Raw genomic sequence first — 25,037 nt, 5'->3', positions numbered from 1 at the left:
CAGACCTTGCCCTGTCCCCGGCCCCTCAGACGTGGCACGTGCCTCCACAGGCAAGGCCCCCTGGTCATCCCAGTCCCTGCCCCTCTGCCTGAAGGGGTCAGGAGCATACCGGCGACCCCACAGCCCCGCAGAGATGCCCCAGCAGACGAGCAGCCCCCGAGTTCCTGTCCTCAAGATGGCTGCCAACAGCGCTCGAAGGGGGAAGAAAACAGCTGTGGAGGGGTCTTCAGGAGCAAGCCTGGGACCTGGCGGGCTGCAGAGACACGGTAGCTCCTCAGGCCTCCAGGGCAGCCTGTCTAAGCCCCAAGGCCGCTGCCTGTCCCAGACGGCGGAGCCCCTGCTCCCCAACACCCCCTGGCAAGGTCCCTCCCGCTGGGTGATCTTTCCTGTTGGGCAGGGAACTCAGGGGTGGGCCCAGGGCCCTTCAGGGGGTGCTGGGATTCAGGGTGAGGGGTGGGCCCAGTGCCCCTCAGGGGGTCCTGGGATTCAGGTGCAGCAGGGTTCCCCCCAAGCTGGGTCAGCACTGGGCTCCCCGGAAGGGGCAGAGCAGGTGCCCCAGGGCCCCCGACCTCCCCCAACAGGTCCATCCCGGCCACCAGGCGTGTGGCTGACAGTGCCACGTTGACCCAGCAGCGGGGAGGGCCCGGGCCAGGATGGCCCCCATGCAGGGGGTGTTTGCAGGACCTTTGGGGGCGTGCGTGCGTCAGCCCCCCGCTGGGAATGGGTGATAATGGGGCCGCTGCCTGCAGGATTTTCCAAAGAAAGCCGAGTCCTGATAAAGCAGGCCCAGATCCTGTTTGGCCACCGCGGCGCCCGCCGGCAGTGGTGATTAAGGGGCTGGACCGCGGGGCGCAGGCAGGTGCGGCGGGGGAGGGCCCGCCAGCCTATATAAGGCACCCAGGACCGGCCGTTGGAGCCGCATGGATGGCAGCAGCAGGCCTGCCGGGCCCAGCGCGAGCTCCTCTCCACTGTGCACCATGGTCCAGCGGTGGCTGCTGCTGTCCTGCTGCGGAGCCCTGCTCAGCGCTGGTGAGTGAGGTCGAGGGGCGCCAGACACTGCGGTGCCCTCAGAGGGGCCCTGTGTGCGGGGGTCTCTGGGCCTTCTCGCCTCGACAACTCGGCTGGCCCACATGGACGCTGATGGACGGGAGGCCCCAGCTCGGCTCCGTGACCAGCCCCCGCTGCCAGGCCCGGGTCCCCCCAGCAGCCGCGGTGCTGGGCTCTGCCAATTGGGGTCAGGGACCCCATGGGGCCTGGGCAGGGACGCCCTCCTGTGAGCTGGCACAGCAGCCAGCGGGGGAGGACGCTCAGCTGGAGTGGGGTCCGGCACTCCCGCGGGAACAGTGGGCAGGTGTGCTGGTGCCCAGCCCTGGCGCTCTCCCTCCCCGAGTGGGGTCCTGAGTCCTGAGAGGTCTCTGGAGTGTGGGGGACAGAGGCACAGTCTCTGCTGGGCCCTGGGCCTCGTTTCCTAGTCTACAGAAGTGGGGGACGCTGCCTCCCCTGGTGTGGCCGCCGTGGGGGGAAGAGGGGGGAAGGTGTACGGCCATCCTGGGCTCAGAACCGCCGCAGGCAGCCTGCCCTCTCCCCCGCGCTCCCCTACCCAGCTCGGGCAGGATCCAGGAGGGACTGACATCCTGGATCCTCTGCCAACCGCCTGCCCTGCGGCTGCTGCAGGTGACCATCAGTCCCTCCCCAGGCCCCCAGAAGGAGCCAGCCCCAAGGGGTCCCTCTGTGGCCGCAGCCTGAGACCTGGGGAGACCCCTCTTGCCGACCAAGGCACCAGCCCAAGGGCCTCTGTGTTCCGTGCTCCTCCTTCCTCTCCAAGCTGGCCCGACCCTCCTCCACAGCCGGGAGCCCCCTGGGGTGGACGCTGGCGTGACAGAGCTCGCCCTCGGAGCTGCTGCCAACCTGGGCGCCTCGGGCTCAGAGCACAGTGGGACCCCCCCAGGGGTGTCCCACTGTAGGGCGACCCAAGCCCACCCCACCCCTTCTCTCCTTTGAAGCCCCTTCCCCACCACGCCGGGCACCACCCTTCAACCGTGGGAGATGTGGGGGTCTCTGAGCTCGCTCCCCACCACGCCGGGCACCACCCTTCAACTGTAGGAGATATGGGGGTCTCTGAGCCCGCTCCCTACCACGCCGGGCACCACCCTTCAACCGTGGGAGATGTGGGGGTCTCTGAGCCCTCCCAGCGGTGCCCTCTGCTTGGGACCCCAGCCCCTACCTGCACACCTGGCACAGCTTGGGGACAAGTGCCAGGAAGTGGGGCTAAACTTGCAGCAGAGTGCGACCCCTAGTCCCTCGGGCCACCACCCTGGAGCCAGGGAGGGAGGTGTGGTGAGGCCCAGAGAGGCTGGAGGTCTGGGCTGTGGGCAGTGCAGAGGGTGGAGGGCCAAGTGGGGGTGTCCACCCGTCACCCCAGCAAATAATCTCTGAGCGCCATCTCTGCCAACATGGGAGGGGCCTCAGCCAGCAGAGTGTGGGGTCGGACAGACGGGCTGCAGGCCTGGGCCGCGGTGGGCCGGGAGGCAGGGGTGGGCGGCCGCCAAGCGTGCAGAAGGAACAGTGCGCACCTGCCGCCTCGTGCTCGTCCAGGGGCTGAGAGGCCGGGGGTGGCGGACCAACCCGCCCAGATGCCCATGCGCCTGGCCAAGGGATCAGCCGAGGGGAAGCACAGCCAGTCTGGGCAGGAACGCAGGAGTCTCCCGCTGGACTTCAGAGCTGGAGGCAGCCGACTTGGAGCCAGTGGACTCGGGGAACCTCCTGCGGGTGGGGCAGGGCGAGGGCGGCGGGGGGCGCAGGGGGTGCAGCAATGAGGCACCCACCCGGGGCAGTGAAGCCAGCCTGGCAGGGCTGAGGGCACCGAAACACAGGCCCGAGGTGTCTGTGCTACAGCGGGGACGGCCCCCAAGTGCCACCCCCCATCGGAAAGGTGGAGAAACTGAGTTGCAGGGGGCATTGCCCAGGGGAGACCGGTCACAGCTCTGCAGCCTCCAGAGGTGCTGGCCCAGGGGCAGGCAGCCAACTGCTCCTCCCGCTCAGAGCTCTCCCACCCCTCCCCCACCAGAGGCCAGCGAGGGCCCCATCCCAGGAACCACTGAGTTCCATGGCTGAGGGTTCGGTGTGCTGCGCACTCCTGCAGCAGGTGCTCTGAGCCCTGTGGATCATCCCTGGAAGGAATGGCGGGGGGCTGAGGACCATGACACCTACTGGGACCCCCAGGAGGGGGATGAGTGAGGGGGTAGGTGCTCGCCAGGCTCAGGGCCCAGCATGAGCCACCCCCACACCAGTCTGGAGTAAACTCAGCTTACACTGGGGATAAGCCAGGTGCAACCCATCAGAAAACGATCTCAAGGCCAAAGGGGACCACAGCCAAATATGTGTCCCACATAGCCAAGGTTGGCATTCTTCTTAAATCCAGTCACTCAAATACCCAACCTCCTGCCTGTGCCAGACAGGACTCACCCAGGCGGCCAAGGGGCAGGCAGCCTGGCTCCTCCCTGGACCGCGGTTAACACCATCTCCCAGCTGACAGGCCCCTGCCCCTGCGTCACCGGAGACACAGGTGTCCAGCGGTAATGGGGGCAGCATCAAGTAAGTCCCAGAAAGTGGGCAGAGCCTGGGGTGAGAGCACAGGTGAGGAGTGGCAGGAATGGGATCTCTGAGCTACATCTGGAAGGAGGTGCTGTGAGTGCCCTGCTAACCAATGGGCAGGGGCAAGGAGGGTCCCGGCCCCAAGAAGGGCCTGGAGAGGTCACGGGTCCTGCTCAGGTGCCGCACCACCACTCAGACATCGGGGGCTCGTGGGAGCCACAGGAAGGGTCATAGTCTCGGAGGCAGGGTCCGGGGAGTTACCCAGAGGTGGGAAAAGTCTCCCTCTGGGTACAGGGGGTGGGACGTGGGGGGTGTTGGCCCCACCCCAGCCTCTGGGAGTCAGGGTGGGACGTCCCCCGCTGCCCTGCCCTGGAGTCACCGTGACTGGGCTATCTGGATGTTTCTCTGACAACAGTGGCCTCAGTGCCAGGCCTGACATCAAGGCTGTCTCAAGGCTGACGTGCAGGAAAGCGGCCATGTTTAGAGCCCCGGAGCCACCGAGAGCAGGGAGAACCGGCTGTGGGGCCTTGGCGCAGACCCCTCAGGGAAACCAGGCGGCCAAGCTGGGGAGGCGGGCACAGCCCACTTTGTTGGCTCCGCCGCCAAGCCCCTGCCACCCGCACCAGCCCCTCCTAGCCCCACCCAGAAGCCCCAGGGATGAGTACCCTGCACACAGGGTGCCCGCCATCTGCCGAACCCCGAGGGGCTGACGGCTGAACTGGGACTGAGTGGACAAACGAGGGAGTGAACGAGAGCAGGGAAGGAAGCTGGGGCTCGTGAAGGACAGCATGGGAGGCCAAGCGCTTGGCTTGCTGTTGAGGCCTCGAGCCCCACGGGCCATGGACACTTCTCGCACGCCGAGTGTGTGCAGGGAAACGGGCGGAGCAGCCCTGAGCAGAGGTGAGCGGCGCCCTCAGGGACGACGGGGTAGCCCCACACCGACTGCGGGTCCCGTCCACACAGGTCTGGCTAACACCTCCTACACCAGCCCAGGCCTCCAGAGGCTGAAGGACTCTCCACAGACAGGTAAGAACACAGCGGCCACTGATCCTGCCGCCCAGACCACCCAGGCCCGGTGTGCAGGAGAGAGGGGCCCGGAGCCCAGGTCACCCCCAAGACACACACATCCAACACACATATATGCACCAACATGAACACACATGCACATACACCCAACACACACACATACCCAATATACACATGCACACACACCTGACACACGCATACACATGTACATGACACATGCATGAGCACACGTCACACACACACCCAACACTCTACACAGACACACAACCCAACACACATGCACACACACCCAACACACACAACCTACACACAAACACACCTGACAAACACATGCACACACACCCAACACCCATGCACACACATCCCAGACATGCAAACATGCACACTTACAACACGCACGACTTACACATGTGCACGCACCCAACACACACACACCCTACACACACATGCACCCTATGTACACACCCTACACACCTGAGACACGCACCCAACACACACATACACACCCCGAATGCACACACATGCACTCGACACACATGCCCAGCTCACACAAACACACATGTGCATGCAACACAATCACACACACCCAACACACATGCAGGTGTATATCTCACACGCCTACACAGCCCTCCAACACACACACACCCACAATGCACACATGGACACACCTGACACGTATGCACACACCCGAGACACGCACATACGTGCACACACGTGCACACACACAACACACATACGTGTACCCACACACACGTGTGTGCACATGCCCACAGCGGTGCTGACTCCTGGCCAGGCATATACCATAGCACTCAGGTTCATCGGATGTCTGGGGTTTCCACAGCCTGGCCCCAACTCAAAAACCCTGGCCCAGGGAGACGAGTGACCTCTCTGCCTGCCCCAGCCCTGCCTGGCCAGGATGGTGGGGACACAGGGCTGTGTGAGCACTGCTCTCTCTGTAGCCCCGGACAAAGGCCAGTGCTCCACGTGGGGGGCTGGTCACTTCTCCACCTTCGACCACCACGTGTACGACTTCTCGGGGACGTGCAACTACATCTTCGCGGCCACCTGCAAGGACGCCTTCCCCACCTTCAGTGTCCAGCTGCGGCGAGGCCCAGACGGGAGCATCTCGCGGATCATCGTGGAGCTGGGGGCCTCCGTCGTCACTGTGAGCGAAGCCATCATCTCAGTCAAGGACATCGGGTAGGTCAGGTGGGCCGGGGCCCGGGGGCTCGGGGGCCGGAGGACTGAGGATCGACCACCGACTTCCCTTGCCCCACAGGGTCATCAGCCTGCCCTATACCAGCAATGGACTCCAGATCACACCCTTCGGCCAGAGCGTGCGGCTGGTGGCCAAGCAGCTGGAGCTGGAGCTGGAAGTCGTGTGGGGTCCTGACAGCCACCTCATGGTGAGGAGAGAAGGGCCAGGGTGGGCCTGGAGACCCGCAGCACGGGGGGGCAGGTGGGACTTGGGAGGGGCTGCCCTCCTTGGGGGTCCCAGCCAGCCCTCAGGCTGCCATGCAGCCAGGCCCTTCGTGCCAAGCAGTGCTGACCCCTGACCAGCAACATGAGCCAGGACTGGGTTTTGTGGGTGACTCGGCTTCTCCACTGGAAAATTAGCCTCCCATAAGAAGAGGCAGATGAGCAGGTGGGGGGATGGTGGGGGCTCTGGGTCCAGGAGCAGGAACTGAGAGCCCTCCACAGCAGATGAGGGGGCCCCTGGCCCCCGGGCCCCCAGCAGAGCCGTCTCCCGCAGGTTCTGGTGGAGCGGAAGTACATGGGTCAGATGTGCGGGCTCTGCGGGAACTTTGACGGGAAGGTGACCAACGAGTTTGTCAGTGAGGAGGGTAGGTGGGGGCAGGGCTGGGGGGCCTCTGGGGGGGCCTCTAGGTGGGGGGCAGGGCAGGGGGGCCTCTGAGGCCCAGCCCCCACGGTGCTGACCCCCATTCTGCACCCCAGGCAAGTTCCTGGAACCCCACAAGTTTGCTGCCCTCCAGAAGCTGGACGACCCCGGCGAGATCTGCACCTTCCAGGACATCCCCAGCACCCACGTCCGGCAGGCCCAGCACGTAAGCAAGGGGGCTCCAGGTGGGGCTGACCCCAGGTCTGACAGGGTCGCCGAGACCACCAAGGGCCCCCACAAGCAGCCGCATCACAGACGCCCTGCCCGACCTCCCCAGTCGTGGTGGCATGGGGTGTGGCCTTTGCCCCCATGACCCTGAGTGGCCCCCCCAGGCCCGGATCTGCACCCAGCTGCTGACCCTGGTGGCCCCTGAGTGCAGCGTGTCCAAGGAGCCCTTCGTGCTAAGCTGCCAGGCGGACGTGGCCGCAGCCCCCCAGCCAGGCCCACAGAACAGCAGTTGTGCCACCCTGTCGGAGTACTCCCGCCAGTGCAGCATGGTGGGCCAGCCGGTCCGCCGCTGGCGGAGCCCCGGCCTGTGCTGTGAGTCCAGGGAAGGGAGAGGGAGGGGCAGGAAGGCCGAGGGCTCCAGACCCAGCTCTCCCAGCCCCTGGACTGCCTGACGTGACGCCTGCATCCCTCCTGGTCTGAGAGACAGGAGATCCTCGCTGCTGCTTCTAGATGGAGGAAGGGCTGGGCTAAGTCCTCCATCAAGCTGGGGTGGGGCAGGGAGGGGTGGGGGGGGTGGGACCCTCTCACCGGAGCCGCGTGTGCCCACAGCCGTGGGTCAGTGCCCGGCCAACCAGGTGTACCAGGAGTGCGGCTCGGCCTGCGTGAAGACCTGCTCCAACCCGCAGCACAGCTGCTCCAGCTCCTGCACCTTCGGGTGCTTCTGCCCGGAAGGTGAGGGCAGTCGCAGGCACTCTCTCTCCCCGGGACCCCTAGAGAGAACCCAGAGACAAGGGGACGTCAGACCCCACCCACCCCGACCCAGGTCACCCCAACATTCTGCTGCCTGAGTCCCAGCTCTGGCGCCTCTTGCCCTGGGACAGGCTTTTCCCGCCTGGACGCTTACAGCCTGCAGGTCCCCCAGCCACGGCCACCCCTGCAAACCCACGGGCGGTGAGGGCTGCTCACTGCGGTCTAGGAGCTGCCGAGGGAAGGCAGGGTTTGAGCCGGGCCCAAGGGACAGTTACACGTCCCTGCCTGCTGGAGGCCACCACTCACCAGGAACCTGGGCCGGGCACATTGGCACGAGGGGCTGTGCACGCCCAGGGCCTGACATAGAGTTGCGAATGCAAGTGCAGCTGGAGAGAGGTCATGGCCCAGGCTAGAGGGGGCGTCTCCCTGGAGCCAGGCTGGAGGGGCGTCTCCCTGGAGCCAGGCTGGAGGGGGCGTCTCCCTGGAGCCAGGCTGGAGGGGGCGTCTCCCTGGAGCCAGGGAGGGGAGAGTGGGAGGCAGTCAGTCCCACCCAAGCCCCAAGAAGACCCTCTCCTGCAGGTACGGTCCTGAATGACCTCTCCAATAACCACACCTGCGTGCCCGTCACCCAGTGCCCCTGTGTGCTCCACGGCGCCATGTATGCCCCCGGGGAGGTCACAATAGCTGCCTGCCAAACCTGGTGAGTGAGGCGCCGGAGGGGGCTCTGGCCGGCCGGCAGGGGTTCCACTGGCCTAGGGCAGGCAGGGGTGTGCTGTCTGGCTCCAGCGGCCCTGCCCACCATGCCGCTACCCCCACGCCCACCCACAGCCGGTGCACCCTGGGCCGCTGGGTGTGCACGGAGCGGCCGTGCCCCGGACACTGCTCCCTGGAAGGTGGCTCCTTTGTTACCACATTTGACGCCAGGCCCTACCGCTTCCACGGCACCTGCACCTACATCCTCCTCCAGGTAGGACGAGCCCTGTGGCCCGTGGGGAGGGGCGCTCCCGGTGACCCCACCCGTGTCTGAGCCCCGCCCCCTCGCAGAGCCCCCAGCTTCCCGAGGACGGTGCCCTCATGGCTGTGTACGACAAGTCCGGCGTCTCACACTCCGAGACCTCCCTGGTGGCTGTGGTCTACCTCTCCAGGCAGGTAAGGCCTTTCCTGCGCCCATCCCTGCCAGCAGGGCTCCGCTCCCTGGTGCCTGCACCCTGACTCAGGCCACCCTCTCTCCAGGACAAAATTGTGATCTCTCAGGACGAGGTGGTCACCAACAACGGAGAAGCCAAGTGGCTGCCATACAAGACTCGTACGTCCTGGCCCAGTCTGTGGCCCCCCAGAGTTGTGCCTTCGGGGCGGGCTGCAGTGGGTGGGGAGGGAGCCCAGACGGCCCACTGAGCACTGCGTCCTGCAGGCAACATCACGGTCTTCAGGCAGACGTCCACCCACCTCCAGATGGCCACCAGCTTCGGGCTGGAGCTCGTGGTCCAGCTGCGCCCCATCTTCCAGGCCTATGTCACTGTTGGGCCCCAGTTCAGAGGTCAGACCAGAGGTGAGTCCCTGCCTCTCCAGGTGGCCCTGTTGCCTCATCCCTACAGGGTCTGGCCATGACCAGGGGAGGAGAAAGGTCCAAGAGAGGTTCACACAACCCTCTGTGTCCGGGGAGCCCCCAGGGGTAACAGGCACGTGTGGCCCACGCAGCCTCTCACCCAGGGTGCTGTTAGAGGAAGGACGGGAGCTCCAGGGCGTGTGGGCAGGAATGGGTGCAGGAGGGATGGGTTCAAGTCGAGCTCACGCCCCGCCGGCTCAGGGCTCTGCGGCAACTTCAACGGGGACACAACGGATGACTTCACCACTAGCATGGGTATCGCCGAGGGCACCGCCTCGCTGTTTGTGGACTCCTGGCGGGCGGGGAACTGTCCGGCCGCTCTGGAGCGTGAGACTGACCCCTGCTCCATGAGCCAGCTCAACAGTGAGTGTCCGGCCCCCCACTCCCCTGGCTGCCCCCCCAGCGCCCACAGTTCTGACAGACCCCTGGACTGGACCACAGGCCCAGCTGCCAGGGTGGGGGGTCCCTGGGAGGAGCCGTAGCTGGAATGGGAGGGGCCGGGACTCACGCCCGGGCCTGTCATCCCCAGAGGTGTGTGCAGAGACCCACTGCTCCATGCTGCTGAGGACAGGCACGGTGTTCGAGAGGTGCCACGCCACAGTGAACCCTGCACCCTTCTACAAGGTGAGGGCCCGAGGGCGTCTTGGGAGGGCTGCAGGGGAGGCTGTGGTGGCTGACAAGGTCTCAGGCACCCAAGGGCATAGGTTTGGGACCCCCATGTCCCCAGGGCAGGGTGCCTGCCACCAGCCCATGCTGGCTCTCTGCCCGCAGAGGTGCGTGTACCAGGCCTGCAACTACGAGGAGACCTTTCCCCACATCTGTGCCGCCCTGGGCGACTACGTACACGCCTGCTCCTTGCGGGGCGTCCTGCTCTGGGGCTGGAGAAGCAGTGTGGACAACTGCAGTGAGTGCCCGACGGGGCTTAAGCGGGGTCACGGCAGGCTGGGCTCACGAGGGGGTGTCCTGGGACCCCAAGCTCTGAGGCTCTGCAGTGCCCGGCAGGCAGGGGAACCCGAGATTGCCCTCCCGGCCGCCCCCTCCCGGAGAGTCTGATGCCCGGGTCCCCCACAGCCATCCCCTGCACGGGTAACACCACCTTCAGCTACAACAGCCAAGCCTGTGAGCGCACCTGCCTGTCGCTGTCGGACCGTGCCACCGAGTGCCACCACAGCGCCGTGCCCGTGGACGGTTGCAACTGCCCCGATGGCACCTACCTGAACCAAAAGGGCGAGTGTGTGCGCAAGGCCCAGTGCCCGTGCATACTGGAGGGTTACAAGTTCATCCTGGCCGAGCAGTCCACTGTCATCAACGGCATCACCTGGTGAGGGACCGGGCAGGGGCCAGGCGGGGGGTCCCTGCCAGGTCCCGGGGTCTCACGCAGCCTCTCTCTTGCAGCCACTGCATCAACGGGCGGCTGAGTTGCCCGCAGCGGCCACAGATGTTCCTGGGTACGTACAGCAGCGCTGGCCGCAGGCTGGGACTGTGAGGGGCCCCGGCTTCCTCTGAGTGTCCTGACCGCGCACCCCTCTTTCCTGCAGCCTCCTGCCAGGCCCCTAAGACCTTCAAGTCCTGCAGCCAGTCCTCCGAGAACAAGTTTGGGGCAGCCTGTGCCCCCACATGCCAGATGCTGGCCACCGGTGTTGCCTGCGTAAGGGGGCGCGCGAGGAGCAGGGACAATGCCCGGGCCCCAGCTGAACCATGAGGGGGTTTCCACAGAACTCCGGGAGACCTGGCCGCATTCTGCCCTGCAGCGGGTGCCTGGGGCTGGCCACGAGGTGGAAGCGGCCCTGTGGCCAGGCAGCTGGAGGCCCCGGGGGCTCGTCTGCAGGGCTCCCTAAGGACAGTGGGCACCAGCTCGGGGAGGGTGGGCTGCCCATGTGTGGGAGTGGGTACAGCAGCCCAGCCGTGTGCACTGGGTCCCAGGACCTTCCACGAGGTGGGGGAAGCTTTGCTAAGGCAGTAAGCCCAGCTGCCCACAAAGGCCACAGAGCAGGGCTGTATTCAGGGAGAGGACCTGGGAGACACGCCGGGCAGTCTCAGAGGGGCCCAGGGCTGGGCAGCAGCTGGCTGAGGCCACCCTCCCAGGAGCTGCTGACCTGCCTCCCTCCAGGTGCCCACCAAGTGTGAGCCTGGCTGTGTCTGCGCCGAGGGCCTCTACGAGAATGCCGACGGGCAGTGTGTGCCCCCCGAGGAGTGCCCATGTGAGTTCTCGGGGGTCTCCTACCCTGGAGGAGCTGAGCTCCACACTGACTGCAGGACCTGGTGAGACAAAGCCTCGCTTCAGACGCCCTGGGCTCCTGGGGCCATCTGGGGCAGGCGGAGGCTGCCCGGGGTGGGGCTGTCCCAGAGGCGGGGGCGTCCAGAGGTGCAGTCTGGCCTCTCCAGGGACCACACCCAGTATGGCAGGAGGGCCGCAGGCCCACCACCCACACCTGCTGTCTCCACAGCTCCTGCTCAAGGGGGAGGTGGGCCTGTCAGCAGGGCACCCACTGCCCATCCACCTGCACCCTCTACGGGGAGGGCCACGTCATCACCTTCGACGGCCAGCGCTTCGTATTCGACGGCAACTGCGAGTACATCCTGGCCACGGTAACCATCGGGTGCCAGGCCGCAGGGGCCGGGGACCCAGAGGCACGGCCTCCAGGGCTCCTCCTCAGCGCCCTCTCCCTGCAGGACGTCTGTGGTGTCAACGACTCACAGCCCACCTTCAAGATCCTGACAGAGAACGTCATCTGTGGGAACTCCGGGGTCACATGCTCACGGGCCATCAAGATCTTCCTGGGGGTGAGCAGCCGGGCAGACTCTGGCAGGGCAGGACGGGCGGTAGGGGGCCCTGCCACACAGCTGGATCCCGCGCACTGGAGCCTCCAGGTCCTGCCCCGAGATGCAGCCCTCCCCGCCTGCCTCTCCTTGAGGGGTGCCTGCTGCCCCTCCCTGGCCAGACGCTCAGGACCACGGGTGCTTGTGCCCCACAAGGTTTCAGGGACTGCAGAATGTCTCCCGGGCAGAGGGGAGGGACTCTCCAGGAAGCCCGAGCTTCAGCCCTCAGCCCTGTTCCAGGCATGCCAGGCCCTTCTGCCCCAAGCTGGCTCTCAGCAGGCGCTCCTGTGCATGGCCTTAACAGACCTGGGCAGCTCTGTCTCTGAGAGCTCGGTCCAGCACGGCTGTGCCAGGGGCCGGGGGAGACAGACAGGCAGTCCTATGCCAACCCCACCCCACAGGGCCTGTCCGTGGTGCTGGCGGACAGAAACTACACGGTCACCGGGGAGGAGCCCCACGTGCAGCTCGGGGTGACGCCGGGTGCGCTGAGCCTTGTCGTGGACATCAGCATCCCCGGGAGGTACAACCTGACGCTCATCTGGAACAGGCACATGACCATCCTCATCAGGATCGCCCGTGCCTCCCAGGTACCGCACGCCCTCTGCCTCCTCCCAGGCCCTCCCTGATGCAGGGGTGGAGACAGATGGCACGGCCCCTGGGCCCGGCCTGATGCCACCGTCTGCAGGATCCCCTCTGCGGCTTGTGTGGCAACTTCAACGGGAACATGAAGGACGACTTCGAGACGCGCAGCAGGTACGTGGCATCCAGCGAGCTGGAGTTGGTGAACTCGTGGAAGGAGAGCCCGCTGTGCGGGGACGTGAGCTTCGTGACAGACCCCTGCAGTCTCAATGCCTTCCGGCGCTCCTGGGCCGAGCGCAAGTGCAGCGTCATCAACAGCCAGACCTTTGCCACCTGCCACAGCAAGGTGGGCACCGGGCACGAGGGCTGTGCGCCTGCCCCTCCACAAATGTCCGGTGGGGGCGGGGGAAGGGGCGGGGAAGCCAGGCACGGTTCTCCCTCCGTGGGATCCCAGACCAGCCAGGTCAGGGTGCAGAGAGTTTCAGACCCTCTGCCTGAGTGCAGGGCCCTGATGTGGGGCCGACTCGTGCACTGTGGCTGTTAAGCAGCCCCCCGGCCTCCACCCACCAGATGCCAATAGCACCCCCAGACAGTGCCACGAGTCCCCTGGGGCAGCATCGCCTGGTGGGCCCCCTGCTCAGGAGCTGGTGGTCAGGGAGACCTCCAGGATGCAGGGCGTGCACTTCCCAGCCCAGGGCGTGATCCGGCCATCGCGGCGCAGTAAGAACTGAGAGGATGGGGGCACCCCGCGGGGGAACAGCATGGCACTGGCCCGCTGAATGTGAGCGTGACGTGGGGGGAGCAGAGACCCTGGGTGGGACTGCAGTGGCCGTGGTTAGCGGCAGCGGCATCTTGGTCCCGATGGCGGGTCTCAAGGCGTGAGCTCGGGTCAGGCCTCCGTGGCAGCATCGGCTCCGGGAGCGTGGCTAGCGGTCAGGGCTGAGGTCCACGTGGTGCCGCTCACCCAGTCCCAGCGCCCTTACCGCCACACTCCGGCCTGACCACACTGAGGGCCCTGCAGGTGGCAAAGCCTGATGCCCCGCCATCCCCCGGCAGCCAGACACTGACTGGCACACACCCCTGCAGGTATACCACCTGCCCTACTACGAGGCCTGCGTGCGCGACGCATGTGGGTGTGACAGTGGCGGGGACTGTGAGTGTCTGTGCGATGCCGTGGCTGCCTACGCCCAAGCCTGTCTGGACAAGGGTGTGTGCGTGGACTGGAGGACCCCGGCCTTCTGCCGTGAGTGACCACCCCTCCCACAGGTTGCTCCAGCCCCTGCCACCCAGCGCCACTAAGGGCCGGCGCAGGGCTGCCCTTGCCCACAGGCCCCTCTCCCTGGACAGGCGCCGGGCTGTGCCCTGCGGGGCCACCCTGGCCCTCCCGCAGCCCCCAGCTGCCCAGGGGAGGCTTCACCAAGAGGGCCCAGACCTTCCCCGCCCACACTCAGGTTCCATGCATGCCCAGGGGAACCACCGGGTCAGGGCCAGGGCCAGGGCCAGGAACCCCACCAGCTGACAGCTCCCTTCCTCCCAGCCATCTACTGCGGCTTCTACAACACGCACACGCAGGACGGCCATGGCGAGTACCAGTACACACAGGAGGCCAACTGCACGTGGCACTACCAGCCCTGCCTCTGCCCCAGCCAGCCACAGAGCGTCCCAGGCAGCAACATCGAAGGTGCCAGGTGACCGGGAGGCAACGCAGATACACAGGGGGACCCATTCACTCATTCATGCACATTCATTCATTCACACGCATTCATTCATTCACACATTCATTCATGCTCATTAATTCACACATTCATTAATTTGCACACATTCATTCACACACACTCACGCACATTCACATTCATTCATGCAGATTCATGCATTCATTCACGCATATTCATTCATTCACGCACATTTGTTCATCCACTCACACACACTCATGCACATTCATTCACACATTCATTCACGCAGTCACTACACACACATTCATTCATGCTCATTCACGCAGTCACATTCCCGCAGATTCATGCACATTCATTCACGCACATTCACTCACGCACATTCACGCACACTCATGCACATTCACTCCATTCATCCATTCATTCACCCACACACACTCATTCAACATATTCACGCTCATTCACATTCATTCACGCACATTCACTCAACACATTCACATTCATTCATGCTCATTCACACATTTACTCACCCACATTCATGCACATTCACGCACTCATGCATTCATTTACGCACATTTGTTCACTCACGCACATTCACTCATGCACATTCACGCACATTCATTCAACATTCACTCACGCACATTCACCCATGCACATTCATTCACACATATTCATTCATTCATTCATGTTTGCTTATTCATTCATGCACATTCGCTCATACACACACGCACATTCATGCATTCATTTGCACATTCATTCTTTCACACACACAGTCACTCAGCAGATGGGTCCTGAGCACCTCTGTCCTCCAGGCCGGCTCCAGGTCAGGGGACCTGGCCTTACACAAAACAAACAGTCCTGCAACCTGGAGCTTCCCTCCCAGCCAGGGAGAGGTGCTTAAGGAGGCAGACCCAGTGTCGGCCGAGGCGCCCACCATGGAGAGGAGAAAGGCAGGCTGGGGTGGGAGAGCCACAGGCTTCTGTGCCACACAGGGTGGTTGGGGCCCTTGGTGGGAGGCAGATGTGAGGGCGAGGATGGGAAAGGTGAGGAGGGGAGCCAGGAAAGTGTCCAGAGGAGCAGCCAGGAGCAGCCTTGTGCCCAGAACCCTTAAGAAAGCCAGGGCAGCGGGCAGAGCCAGCGAGTGAGGGGCGCGGGCTGCAGAGGGCAGAGGGAGCGGTGGAGGGGTGCGGGGCTGTAGAGGGCAGATGGAGTGAGTGAGGGGCGCGGGGCTGTAGAGGGCAGAAGGAGCGAGTGGGGCGCGGGGCTGCAGAGGGCAGAGCAAGCGAGTGAGGGGCACAGGGCTGCAGAGGGCAGAGGGAGTGAGTGAGGGGCGCGGGGCTGTAGAGGGCAGAGGGAGCGAGTGAGGGGCGTGGGCTGCAGAGGGCAGAGCGAGTGAGGGGCGCGGGGCTGCAGAGGGCAGAGGGAGCGAGTGAGAGGCGCGGGGCTGCAGAGGGCAGAGGGAGCGAGTGAGGGGCACCGGGCTGCAGAGGGGTGTGGGGTACACAGACTTGTGGGGTGGGGTGTGGCCGGGAGGGAGGGGTCTTTGTGAGGCCTGTGGCTGCCCCAAGGCAGAGGTCTGAATGCAGAGGGTCCTGGGATTAACAGGTCCTGGCCCAAGTGGTGGAGGAGGGTGGTGTCTGGAGCCATCCGGACACACAGAGGACAGATGTGTTGGGGCTCAGGAGGGCAATGCAGGGCACCTGCATCGGGGAGCACAGAAGAGGGGCCAGTGTCTGAGGTCCAGGGGGAGGTGAGGACTGGAAGATGGCACCGAAGCCCCAGCCCCGGGTGATAAGCAGGGTATGAGAGACCAAGGCCTGAGGAAGGCATGGCAGGAAAGGAGGGGCTTAGAGCAAGGTGCGCGGGTGAAACTGTAATCCCAGCACTCTGGGAGGCCGAGGCAGGAAGATCACCTCAGGTCAAGAGTTTGAGACCAGCCTGGCCAACGTGGCGAAGCCCCATCACTACTAAAAATACAAAAATTAGCCGGGCGTCATGGCACATGCCTGCAATCGCAGCTACCTGGGAGGCTGGGGCAGGAGAATCATGTGAATCCAGGAGGCAGAGGTTGCAGTGAGCGAAGATTGTGCCACTGCACTCCAGCCTGGGCGACAGAGCGAGACTCTGTCTCAAAAAAAAAAAAAAAAAAAAGCAGAGAGGAAGGAGGCCGCCAGGGCAGGAAACACGCAGGTGGGCCTGGCTGGCCACCAGTCACACAGACCCTGGCCGTTCTCCACCCTAGGCTGCTACAACTGCTCCCAGGATGAGTACTTCGACCACGAGGAGGGGGTGTGCGTGCCCTGCAGTAAGTCCAGTCGGCTGCCCTGAGAACCCTGCCCCTGCCTGCATGCAGGCAGAACGCACGTCCACATCCCACAAACAAGGGAGAGAGCCCTCGGGGGCTGTGAGCCCTTACGTGAGCTCTGGGACTCCACTCTCCAGGACCCTGGCCCCTTGGGTCTCCAGAGACTCAGGCAGCCTCCAGCCCATGGCAGCAGAGAGAAAAAAACACAGCACTGAACCCCACTGGGCCCTCCCATCCCCTCTTCCACCAGCTCCCAGCTCCCCCTACCCTCACCAGGCCTGCCAGGGTGCCTGGGGTATAGAGTGGGAATCATCCTGGGAAGGAGAAAGGGAGAGAGGGGAGGGTGGGCTCCCAGCCCCTCCAGTCCCCTCCACCACAGCCTTGGTGAGCATCTCTGACTCAGGCCCTCGGAGCTCCCAGAGGCCCCACGGGGTGGGGAGGCTTAGAGAACCACAGGGAGCTGACCCCATCTTCTTGCAGTGCCGCCCACCACGCCGCAGCCACCCACCACGCCGCAGCTGCCCACCACAGGTAATTGCACGCACACTAGGTGCCAAGGTGACGCAGGCCCTTTCCTGGGCTCCCCTCGGTTCCCTGGACAAATCTGTCGGGTGGGAAGCAGGGAGGGGGCAGGCAGTACCTGTGCCCTTCTCAGGTCTAACCTGGCAATCAGAGTTGGGGAGGAGCTCAGCCCACAGCCAGGAAGCAGCCTGGTCCCCATGGCCCTGGCTGGACCCACGGATGAGCACAGAGTGGGGCCTCAACAGGTGACCCCCGCCATGCAGGAGGCCCAGCCAGGAGCCAGGCTGCACTCAGAGTGCCACAGGCCAGCCCTCAACTGCACATCATTGGCCCCTGCAGGGCTGCCCGGCTTCAGGGCCAAGCAGGCAGAGGGGAGGGTGCTCCCCAAGGATATGCCGGTACCCTGCAGCCCTGATGGCATGTCCGCCCACCCAGGCTCACGGCCCACGCAAGTCTGGCCCATGACGGGAACCTCCACCACCATCGGGCTTCTCAGCTCCACCGGACCCTCACCCAGCTCTAATCACACCCCTGCCAGCCCCACCCAGACACCCCTCCTTCCAGCCACGCTCACATCCTCCAAGCCCACAGCCTCCTCGGGAGGTAAGGAGCCTCCAGCTGAGCCCATGGAGAGGGCAGCTGCAGGAGGTCCTAGGTACACCTCTGGGGTGGGCTTAGGGATGGCCCTGCTTCCTGGCTCACATCTGCCACTAAGCAGATTCCCAGCGTAGAACTTCCTATGCTTGGGAGCCAAACTGGGGATTTTTCGGAAAAACTTTTAAAGACAAGCTGGTCATGGCATGGGGCATTCCTTGCTGCTGGCTGCTGTCACTAGAAACCGTGTGGGACCTGCAGGGCCTCTGCCAGGCAGCCTGCCCCTGCCCCACACCGAGCAGGGCCCCATCTGCTGCCCAGGGACCCTGGAGGGGACAGGACGACAGTCCGTTCAGCTAAGCAAGGGTGGGCGCAGGAGCAGCCGCAGCCCCATAAGCATGTGGTCACTGCCCCAGCTCTGGCCACCACAGCCAGGAGTACGGTGGGAGGACCTAACAAAGGCAAGAGGAAGAGCCCCTCCAAGGAGGCTGAGTCCCGGACAGCAGGCCAGGGATCCCAGAAGCAGGGCAGGGGGCTGGGACACAAGCCTTCGAAATGCAGGCCCACAGCAAGGGGATGTTCCGGGCGGCTGTCCTCTGCAGAACCACCTAGACCAACCACGGCCGTCACCCCACAAGCCACATCAGGGCTGCCTCCCACAGCCACACTGAGATCGACAGCCACAAAACCCACAGTGACCCAGGCCACAACCAGGGCCACGGCGTCGACCGCCAGCCCAGCCACGACGTCCACAGCTCAGTCCACAACACGGACCACAATGACACTACCAACCCCAGCCACATCAGGGACAAGCCCCACGCTGCGTAAGTCATGGCGCCATGGGATGCCAGCACTGCCGAAGGCACCCGGTCCCACCACCAGCTCACATTCAGTGATTCAGCCATAAAGAAGACCCCGTATTTCCCAGAGGGCAAGCGAGAAGGCAGCCCAAAAGTGTAGGCTGGAGCTGGAGGCAAGGAAGGCCGCCTGGCACTCACAAAGGCAGGCCTGGGGAGCAGAGGTGCAGGAGGGTGGGGGCCACCACCACGGCCACAGGGAACCAGAAGGGGATAAAGTAGGGCCTGGGTTCCAGTCACAGAGCGGCAGCTGCACTGAAGGAGTCAGCACGCAGCTCAGGGCAGGATGTGGAGCAAGTCCAGGTGAGATGGAGACAATGGGGCAGGCTGGAGTGCCCAGCAGGGGCCATGTCACAGGAACAGAGGCACAGACAGGCAAGAAAAAGGTCACATAGACAAAAGGACGGGCCAGCGGAGGTCAGGGTAGAGAAACAAAAACAATAACGATGACAACTTCACCAATTCCCACAGCAAAATCGACCAATCAGGAACTGCCAGGAACAACGGCCACCCAGACGACAGGCCCACGTCCAACCCCAGCAAGCACCACAGGCCCAACCACCCCACAGCCAGGACAACCCACGAGGCCCACAGCCACAGAGACCACTCAAACAAGAACGACTACTGAATACACAACGCCCCAAACCCCACACACCACACACTCCCCGCCTACGGCGGGGAGTCCCGTCCCTTCCACAGGTCCTGTCACTGCAACATCTTTCCATGCCACCACTACCTATCCAACCCCATCACACCCTGAGACCACACTTCCCACTCACGTTCCACCTTTCTCCACCTCCTTGGTGACTCCAAGTACTCACACAGTCATCACCCCTACCCACGCACAGATGGCCACATCTGCCTCCAACCACTCAGCGCCAACAGGTACCATTCCTCCACCAACAACGCTCAAGGCCACAGGGTCCACCCACACAGCCCCACCAATAACGCCGACCACCAGTGGGACCAGCCAAGCCCACAGCTCATTCAGCACAAACAAAACACCTACCTCGCTACATTCACACACTTCCTCCACACACCATCCTGAAGTCACCCCAACTTCTACTACCACGATTACTCCCAACCCCACTAGTACACGCACCAGAACCCCTGTGGCCCACACCAACTCAGCCACCAGCAGCAGGCCACCACCACCCTTCACCACACACTCCCCACCTACAGGGAGCAGTCCCTTCTCTTCCACAGGTCCCATGACGGCAACATCCTTCAAGACCACCACTACCTATCCAACCCCATCACACCCTCAGACCACACTTCCCACTCACGTTCCACCTTTCTCCACCTCTTTGGTGACTCCAAGTACTCACACAGTCATCACCCCTACCCATGCACAGATGGCCACTTCTGCCTCCATCCACTCAATGCCAACAGGCACGATTCCTCCACCGACAACGCTCAAGGCCACAGGGTCCACCCACACAGCGCCAACAATGACGCTGACCACCAGCGGGACCAGCCAAGCCCTGAGCTCATTAAACACAGCCAAAACCTCTACATCCCTACATTCACACACTTCCTCCACACACCATGCTGAAGCCACCTCAACTTCTACCACCAACATCACCCCCAACCCCACCAGTACAGGAACCCCACCAATGACAGTGACCACCAGTGGGACCAGCCAATCCCGAAGCTCATTTAGCACGGCCAAAACCTCTACATCCCTACATTCACACACTTCCTCCACACACCATCCTGAAGTCACCTCAACTTCTACCACCAGCATCACCCCCAACCACACCAGTACAGGCACCAGAACCCCTGTGGCCCACACCACGTCGGCCACCAGCAGCAGGCTACCCACACCCTTCACCACACACTCCCCACCTACAGGGACCACTCCCATCTCTTCCACAGGTCCTGTCACTGCAACATCCTTCCAGACCACCACTACCTATCCAACCCCATCACACCCTCACACCACACTTCCCACTCACGTTCCATCTTTCTCCACCTCCTTGGTGACTCCAAGTACTCACACGGTCATCATCCCTACCCACACACAGATGGCCACTTCTGCCTCCATCCACTCAATGCCAACAGGCACCATTCCTCCACCGACCACGATCAAGGCCACAGGGTCCACCCACACAGCCCCACCAATGACACCGACCACCAGTGGGACCAGCCAATCCCCAAGCTCATTTAGCACGGCCAAAACTTCTACATCCCTACCTTACCACACTTCCTCAACACACCATCCTGAAGTCACCCCAACTTCTACCACCAACATCACCCCCAAACACACCAGTACAGGCACCAGAACCCCTGTGGCCCACACCACCTCGGCCAGCAGCAGCAGGCTACCCACACCCTTCACCACACACTCCCCACCTACAGGGAGCAGTCCCTTCTCTTCCACAGGTCCTATGACTGCAACATCCTTCCAGACCACCACTACCTATCCAACCCCATCACACCCTCAGACCACACTTCCCACTCACGTTCCACCTTTCTCCACCTCCTTGGTGACTCCAAGTACTCACACAGTCATCATCACTACCCACACACAGATGGCCACTTCTGCCTCCATCCACTCAACGCCAACAGGCACCGTTCCTCCACCAACAACGCTCAAGGCCACAGGGTCCACCCACACAGCCCCACCAATGACAGTGACCACCAGTGGGACCAGCCAAACCCACAGCTCATTCAGCACAGCTACAGCCTCTTCTTCCTTCATATCCTCCTCGTCTTGGCTGCCTCAGAACTCTAGCTCAAGGCCACCGTCATCACCTATCACCACACAACTCCCCCACTTGAGTTCTGCAACCACTCCTGTTTCCACAACTAATCAGCTGTCCTCCTCATTTTCTCCCAGTCCTTCTGCCCCCTCTACTGTTTCTTCTTATGTGCCCTCCTCCCACTCCTCTCCCCAGACTTCATCGCCTTCTGTTGGCACATCTTCCTCTTTCGTGTCCGCCCCCGTGCACTCCACAACCCTGAGCTCGGGGTCACACTCCTCATTGTCCACTCATCCCACGACTGCATCAGTGTCTGCATCTCCTCTTTTTCCTTCTTCTCCAGCTGCCTCTACTACCATTAGGGCCACTCTCCCCCACACTATCTCCTCTCCTTTCACCCTCTCTGCTCTACTCCCCATATCCACTGTTACCGTGTCTCCCACCCCATCCAGCCACCTAGCCTCCAGCACCATTGCATTTCCGTCCACGCCCAGGACCACGGCCAGCACCCACACCGCCCCTGCCTTCTCCTCTCAGTCCACCACCTCGCGGTCCACTTCTCTCACCACCCGAGTTCCCACATCAGGCTTTGTGTCACTCACCTCGGGGGTGACGGGTATCCCCACCTCTCCAGTCACCAACCTTACCACCAGGCACCCTGGTCCCACCTTGTCGCCTACCACACGGTTCCTGACCAGCTCCCTCACTGCCCATGGAAGCACCCCTGCTTCTGCCCCGGTATCTTCTCTCGGGACACCTACGCCCACCTCACCCGGTAAGTGGCATCTCTGTGGCCCTTCTCCTGGCCTCACCTCTGTGCTCATGACTCCCAGGCAGCCCCTGCCTCAGCTTACCCCTCATGGTCCTGTGATCCCAGGACCACACGCCTGTTCCCTGCCTTCCCTACACACCTGCCAGGCGTTTCCACTCTCCTCTCCTGGGCACCCTCTATGCCAACGCTGTCCTGGCCAAGCAAGTGCCTGGCCTCCCCGTTGGGCCTTGTTCCCCAGCTAACCTTGACCTTTCCCTGCACTGGCTCACTCATGCCCGGTCACTGCTGCACTCCTGGCCTCCCCTCAGAGTGTTACCTGCCAAAAGCCTTCCCTGGCTGCCCCTTTGGTTGCTCAGAGGATGTCAGGGCTGGCCCAACCCCAGGGTTCAAGCAGCACAGCCCTTCCTCCAAGTGCAGAGAGAGACACAAAAGTCTGGCACATCCCCTGCCTCGCCCCAAAGGACCTGTTGAAGGTGGAGCTGGACCTGGCAACCAGGGCACCTGCTCCTTCGTGCTCATGCCAATTCTCTGGGCCACGGTCTCTTCCCGGCCCATGCCTGTGAGCGAGTCCACTGCTCCCCAGGCCATGGGATGCCTGGGGACAGAGCACACCTCAGGCCTTATCCATGTCCACCTCACCTCACCTCGCGTTCCAGGGATGTCCCTCCCTTCCCTCCTGGGTGTTCCTCTCACAGCAACCACCCAGGGACTGGGTCCCTCGCATGCATCGACCTCCACCAGGCGACAACGCCACAGTTGCCTTCGTGGTCTCTCACGTGGGTGGCAGCTCGTTGCTGCAAGCTGAGGGAATCTTGGTTCGGGTCCCTCCCTGAGACCGGGACTTGGGTGCAAGGTGTAACCAGGGAGGTGACCCCAAGAAGCAGAGGCGAGGGAGCAGGAACCAGCTGGGAGGGGAGGGCAGCTGGGGACGGCAGGGCCTATGGAAGCACCCAGAGTCCTGACCCTCCCGGAGAAAGCCCTCTGCAGCGGGCAGGTAGGCTCCAGGTGACCTGTCTTCTCTGCAGCCAGGAAACGAAGCTGGGAGCAGCCAGGGGAGGGCACACGGGCAGCAGAGTCCAGCCTTTACCCCAGGACTCCTTTTCCACTTTTAAACCCACGCTCTCCAGTGGCGGTTTCTAATGCCAACGCTGCCACTGCCTGCATCGGTCCACCCTGCTCTGTGCTGCCTGCCACGTACCCAGGCCTCTCGCTGAGGCTGGCTGTCTCTGGGCCTTCCCCGCGGGCCCCCACCCCGCCCCTTCCAGGAGCCCAGACCACGGGGCCTGCTCCACTTCCCTCCTCCCCAGCTGGGGCACACGGAGCTCCTGCAACACCATATGTCCCGCTCTGGGGTCACTGGCACGGTGTCCTCGGCCCCCCTGCAGGTCCTGGGTCTGGCCAACCAGAGAGGCCCATGCCCACAGGTCAGTGTTGAGGCCTGGGGTTGGTCATCAGGGAAGCTGGGGCCCAAGGGTGGCTCACACAGGCCCAGGGCTCAGTATCTGCTGAGTCCGCTGAGAAAATTCTCTACCTTATGGACTCCAGCAGAGCGACTTTGAGGGGAAAAAACAAACTAGGATGCGGCTGGCCTTTGCCTTTGTGTATGGCTGAGGTCTGAGCTCTGTGGGGCTCCACAAGGGGAGACCACACCTTGGGCAGGAGAGTCCAGAGACAGGTGGGGACCCCGGTCTCTAGCCAGGGTTTCCCTCCCTCCTCGCTCCATGCCCACCCTGGGCGCTGCTGACCGTCCACTCGGCTACCAGGGGTCTGCAGTGTGCGGGAGCAGCAGGAGGAGATCACGTTCAAGGGGTGCATGGCGAACGTGACGGTAACCCGCTGTGAGGGCGCCTGCATTTCCGCTGCCAGGTGAGTCCACAGGTGGGAGGCCTGCCCCACGTCCACCAAGGTGCTCACAACCCCACCCCAGAGAGGTTCGGGCACCCCACCCAGGCGCCTGCTGCCCCATCAGGTGAGCCACTCTGCGCTCCATCTGCCCAACACCGCCCTGGCCCCTGTGAGCCGGGAGCTCAGCGGGGAGGTCCAGGCCTCTGCGGAGCAGCTGCCCTGGGGAGGGAGGGGCCTTATGCCCCTGCAGCAGTCATGACCCTGCTCTGTCTTGACTTCTCGGCAGCTTCAACATCATCACCCAGCAGGTGGATGCCCGCTGCAGCTGCTGCCGCCCCCTCCACTCCTATGAGCAGCAGCTGGAGCTGCCCTGCCCCGATCCCAGCACGCCTGGCCGGCGGCTCGTACTCACCCTGCAGGTGTTCAGCCACTGCGTGTGCAGCTCTGTGGCCTGTGGAGACTAGCAGGGTCGCTGCCTGCTCTCCTGGGGCTGAAGGACTGCAGATGACAGACAGGAAAACACCCACCAGCCCCCTTCCCGCTTGTGCCAGCAGCTGCTTTCCTGGTCACCAGGCCTGGCCCCCAAGTGCCCTGGGCCGTGGCTCCCTGGGGCACCGGTTGGAGAGGGGCTGCCAAGCAGGGGCTCAGACTACCACACTCCTGCAGACCCTGAGCCAGCAGAGAGGGACTGAGGCGGACAGTGGTCACGGACCTCCCAGGCACACAGGGCACTCCCGACCACCCCTGCCCACCGTCCAACACCTCCCAGCCCCTGAACTTGGCCCCAGCCCTGCTGGGCCCAGAACCCTGCAGATGAAGCCACAGAGCAGGCGCTCGACCAGACCCATCAGGGGCGAGGAGGGCACGGAAACCTGTGCCGAGATGGGGGCAAGAGGCCCAGGCAGCCACCAGCACAGAGAAGAGGAGATCCCCAGAGTCAGGGAGGGCAGAGGGTGGCAGCGAGGGCAGGGCAGCCGCCCCCGCTCCCAGCCAGGCAGAAGGCCCCCACCAGCACCACACCCATCCCCAGCAGCCTGTCCTTGGGAGAGGGCGTCACCCGGTCAGAGACTCCAAATAAACCGGTTCTTGTCAAGGCACAGAGGCTGGTCCCTGAGCACTGCTTTTGCCTCTCCCCAGTCCCTTAGTAGGCACCCGACCCACATCTGCACCCTGTGGGCCCCTGGGATCTGCAGTTGGGCAGGGCTGCCCCCAGCAGGGTCTGGGCTGGTAAGAGAAGCTGCCTCTGGCTTTGGGCCCCTGCCCTCCCTCCATTAGGACTGTTCCGTCTCTGGCGAAGCCCACCGTCCTCCGGGGGCCACCCCCA

At 63.6% G+C, this 25,037-nt stretch overlaps 1 protein-coding gene across 1 annotated transcript; it reads left to right on the top strand.

The window, feature by feature from the left end:
* On the top strand, window positions 915–24,810 carry MUC6 (mucin 6, oligomeric mucus/gel-forming (gene/pseudogene)). The gene is made up of 33 exons (NM_005961.3): window positions 915–1,029; window positions 4,558–4,620; window positions 5,580–5,820; window positions 5,900–6,026; window positions 6,374–6,464; window positions 6,577–6,686; window positions 6,853–7,060; window positions 7,298–7,420; window positions 8,018–8,138; window positions 8,267–8,405; window positions 8,483–8,587; window positions 8,672–8,744; window positions 8,850–8,987; window positions 9,246–9,407; window positions 9,574–9,668; window positions 9,816–9,948; window positions 10,116–10,365; window positions 10,440–10,492; window positions 10,583–10,692; window positions 11,155–11,306; window positions 11,492–11,633; window positions 11,718–11,828; window positions 12,266–12,451; window positions 12,550–12,789; window positions 13,530–13,686; window positions 13,981–14,124; window positions 16,356–16,418; window positions 16,899–16,949; window positions 17,376–17,543; window positions 18,137–18,358; window positions 18,863–21,871; window positions 23,632–23,734; window positions 24,000–24,810. Exons 1-33 carry the CDS (start codon window positions 978–980, stop codon window positions 24,175–24,177), a joined length of 7,320 nt encoding a protein of 2,439 aa, NP_005952.2. The 5' UTR covers window positions 915–977; the 3' UTR covers window positions 24,178–24,810.

This window comes from Homo sapiens, chromosome 11 (genome assembly GCF_000001405.40).
Source record: "Homo sapiens chromosome 11, GRCh38.p14 Primary Assembly".
NCBI classification, from domain to species: domain Eukaryota; kingdom Metazoa; phylum Chordata; class Mammalia; order Primates; family Hominidae; genus Homo; species Homo sapiens.
The sequence above is the reverse complement of the archived record's forward strand: the minus strand, read 5'-3'. Positions and strand labels throughout refer to the sequence as shown.

Excerpts from the sequence above, each read along its gene's own strand:
- MUC6 (NM_005961.3), top strand. The coding sequence starts at position 978 with ATGGTCCAGCGGTGGCTGCTGCTGTCCTGCTGCGGAGCCCTGCTCAGC. Across the intron at positions 6,687-6,852 it reads ACGTCCGGCAGGCCCAGCAC|GCCCGGATCTGCACCCAGCT; the intron begins GTAAGCAAGGGG and ends TGGCCCCCCCAG. Across the intron at positions 8,988-9,245 it reads GTTCAGAGGTCAGACCAGAG|GGCTCTGCGGCAACTTCAAC; the intron begins GTGAGTCCCTGC and ends CCGCCGGCTCAG.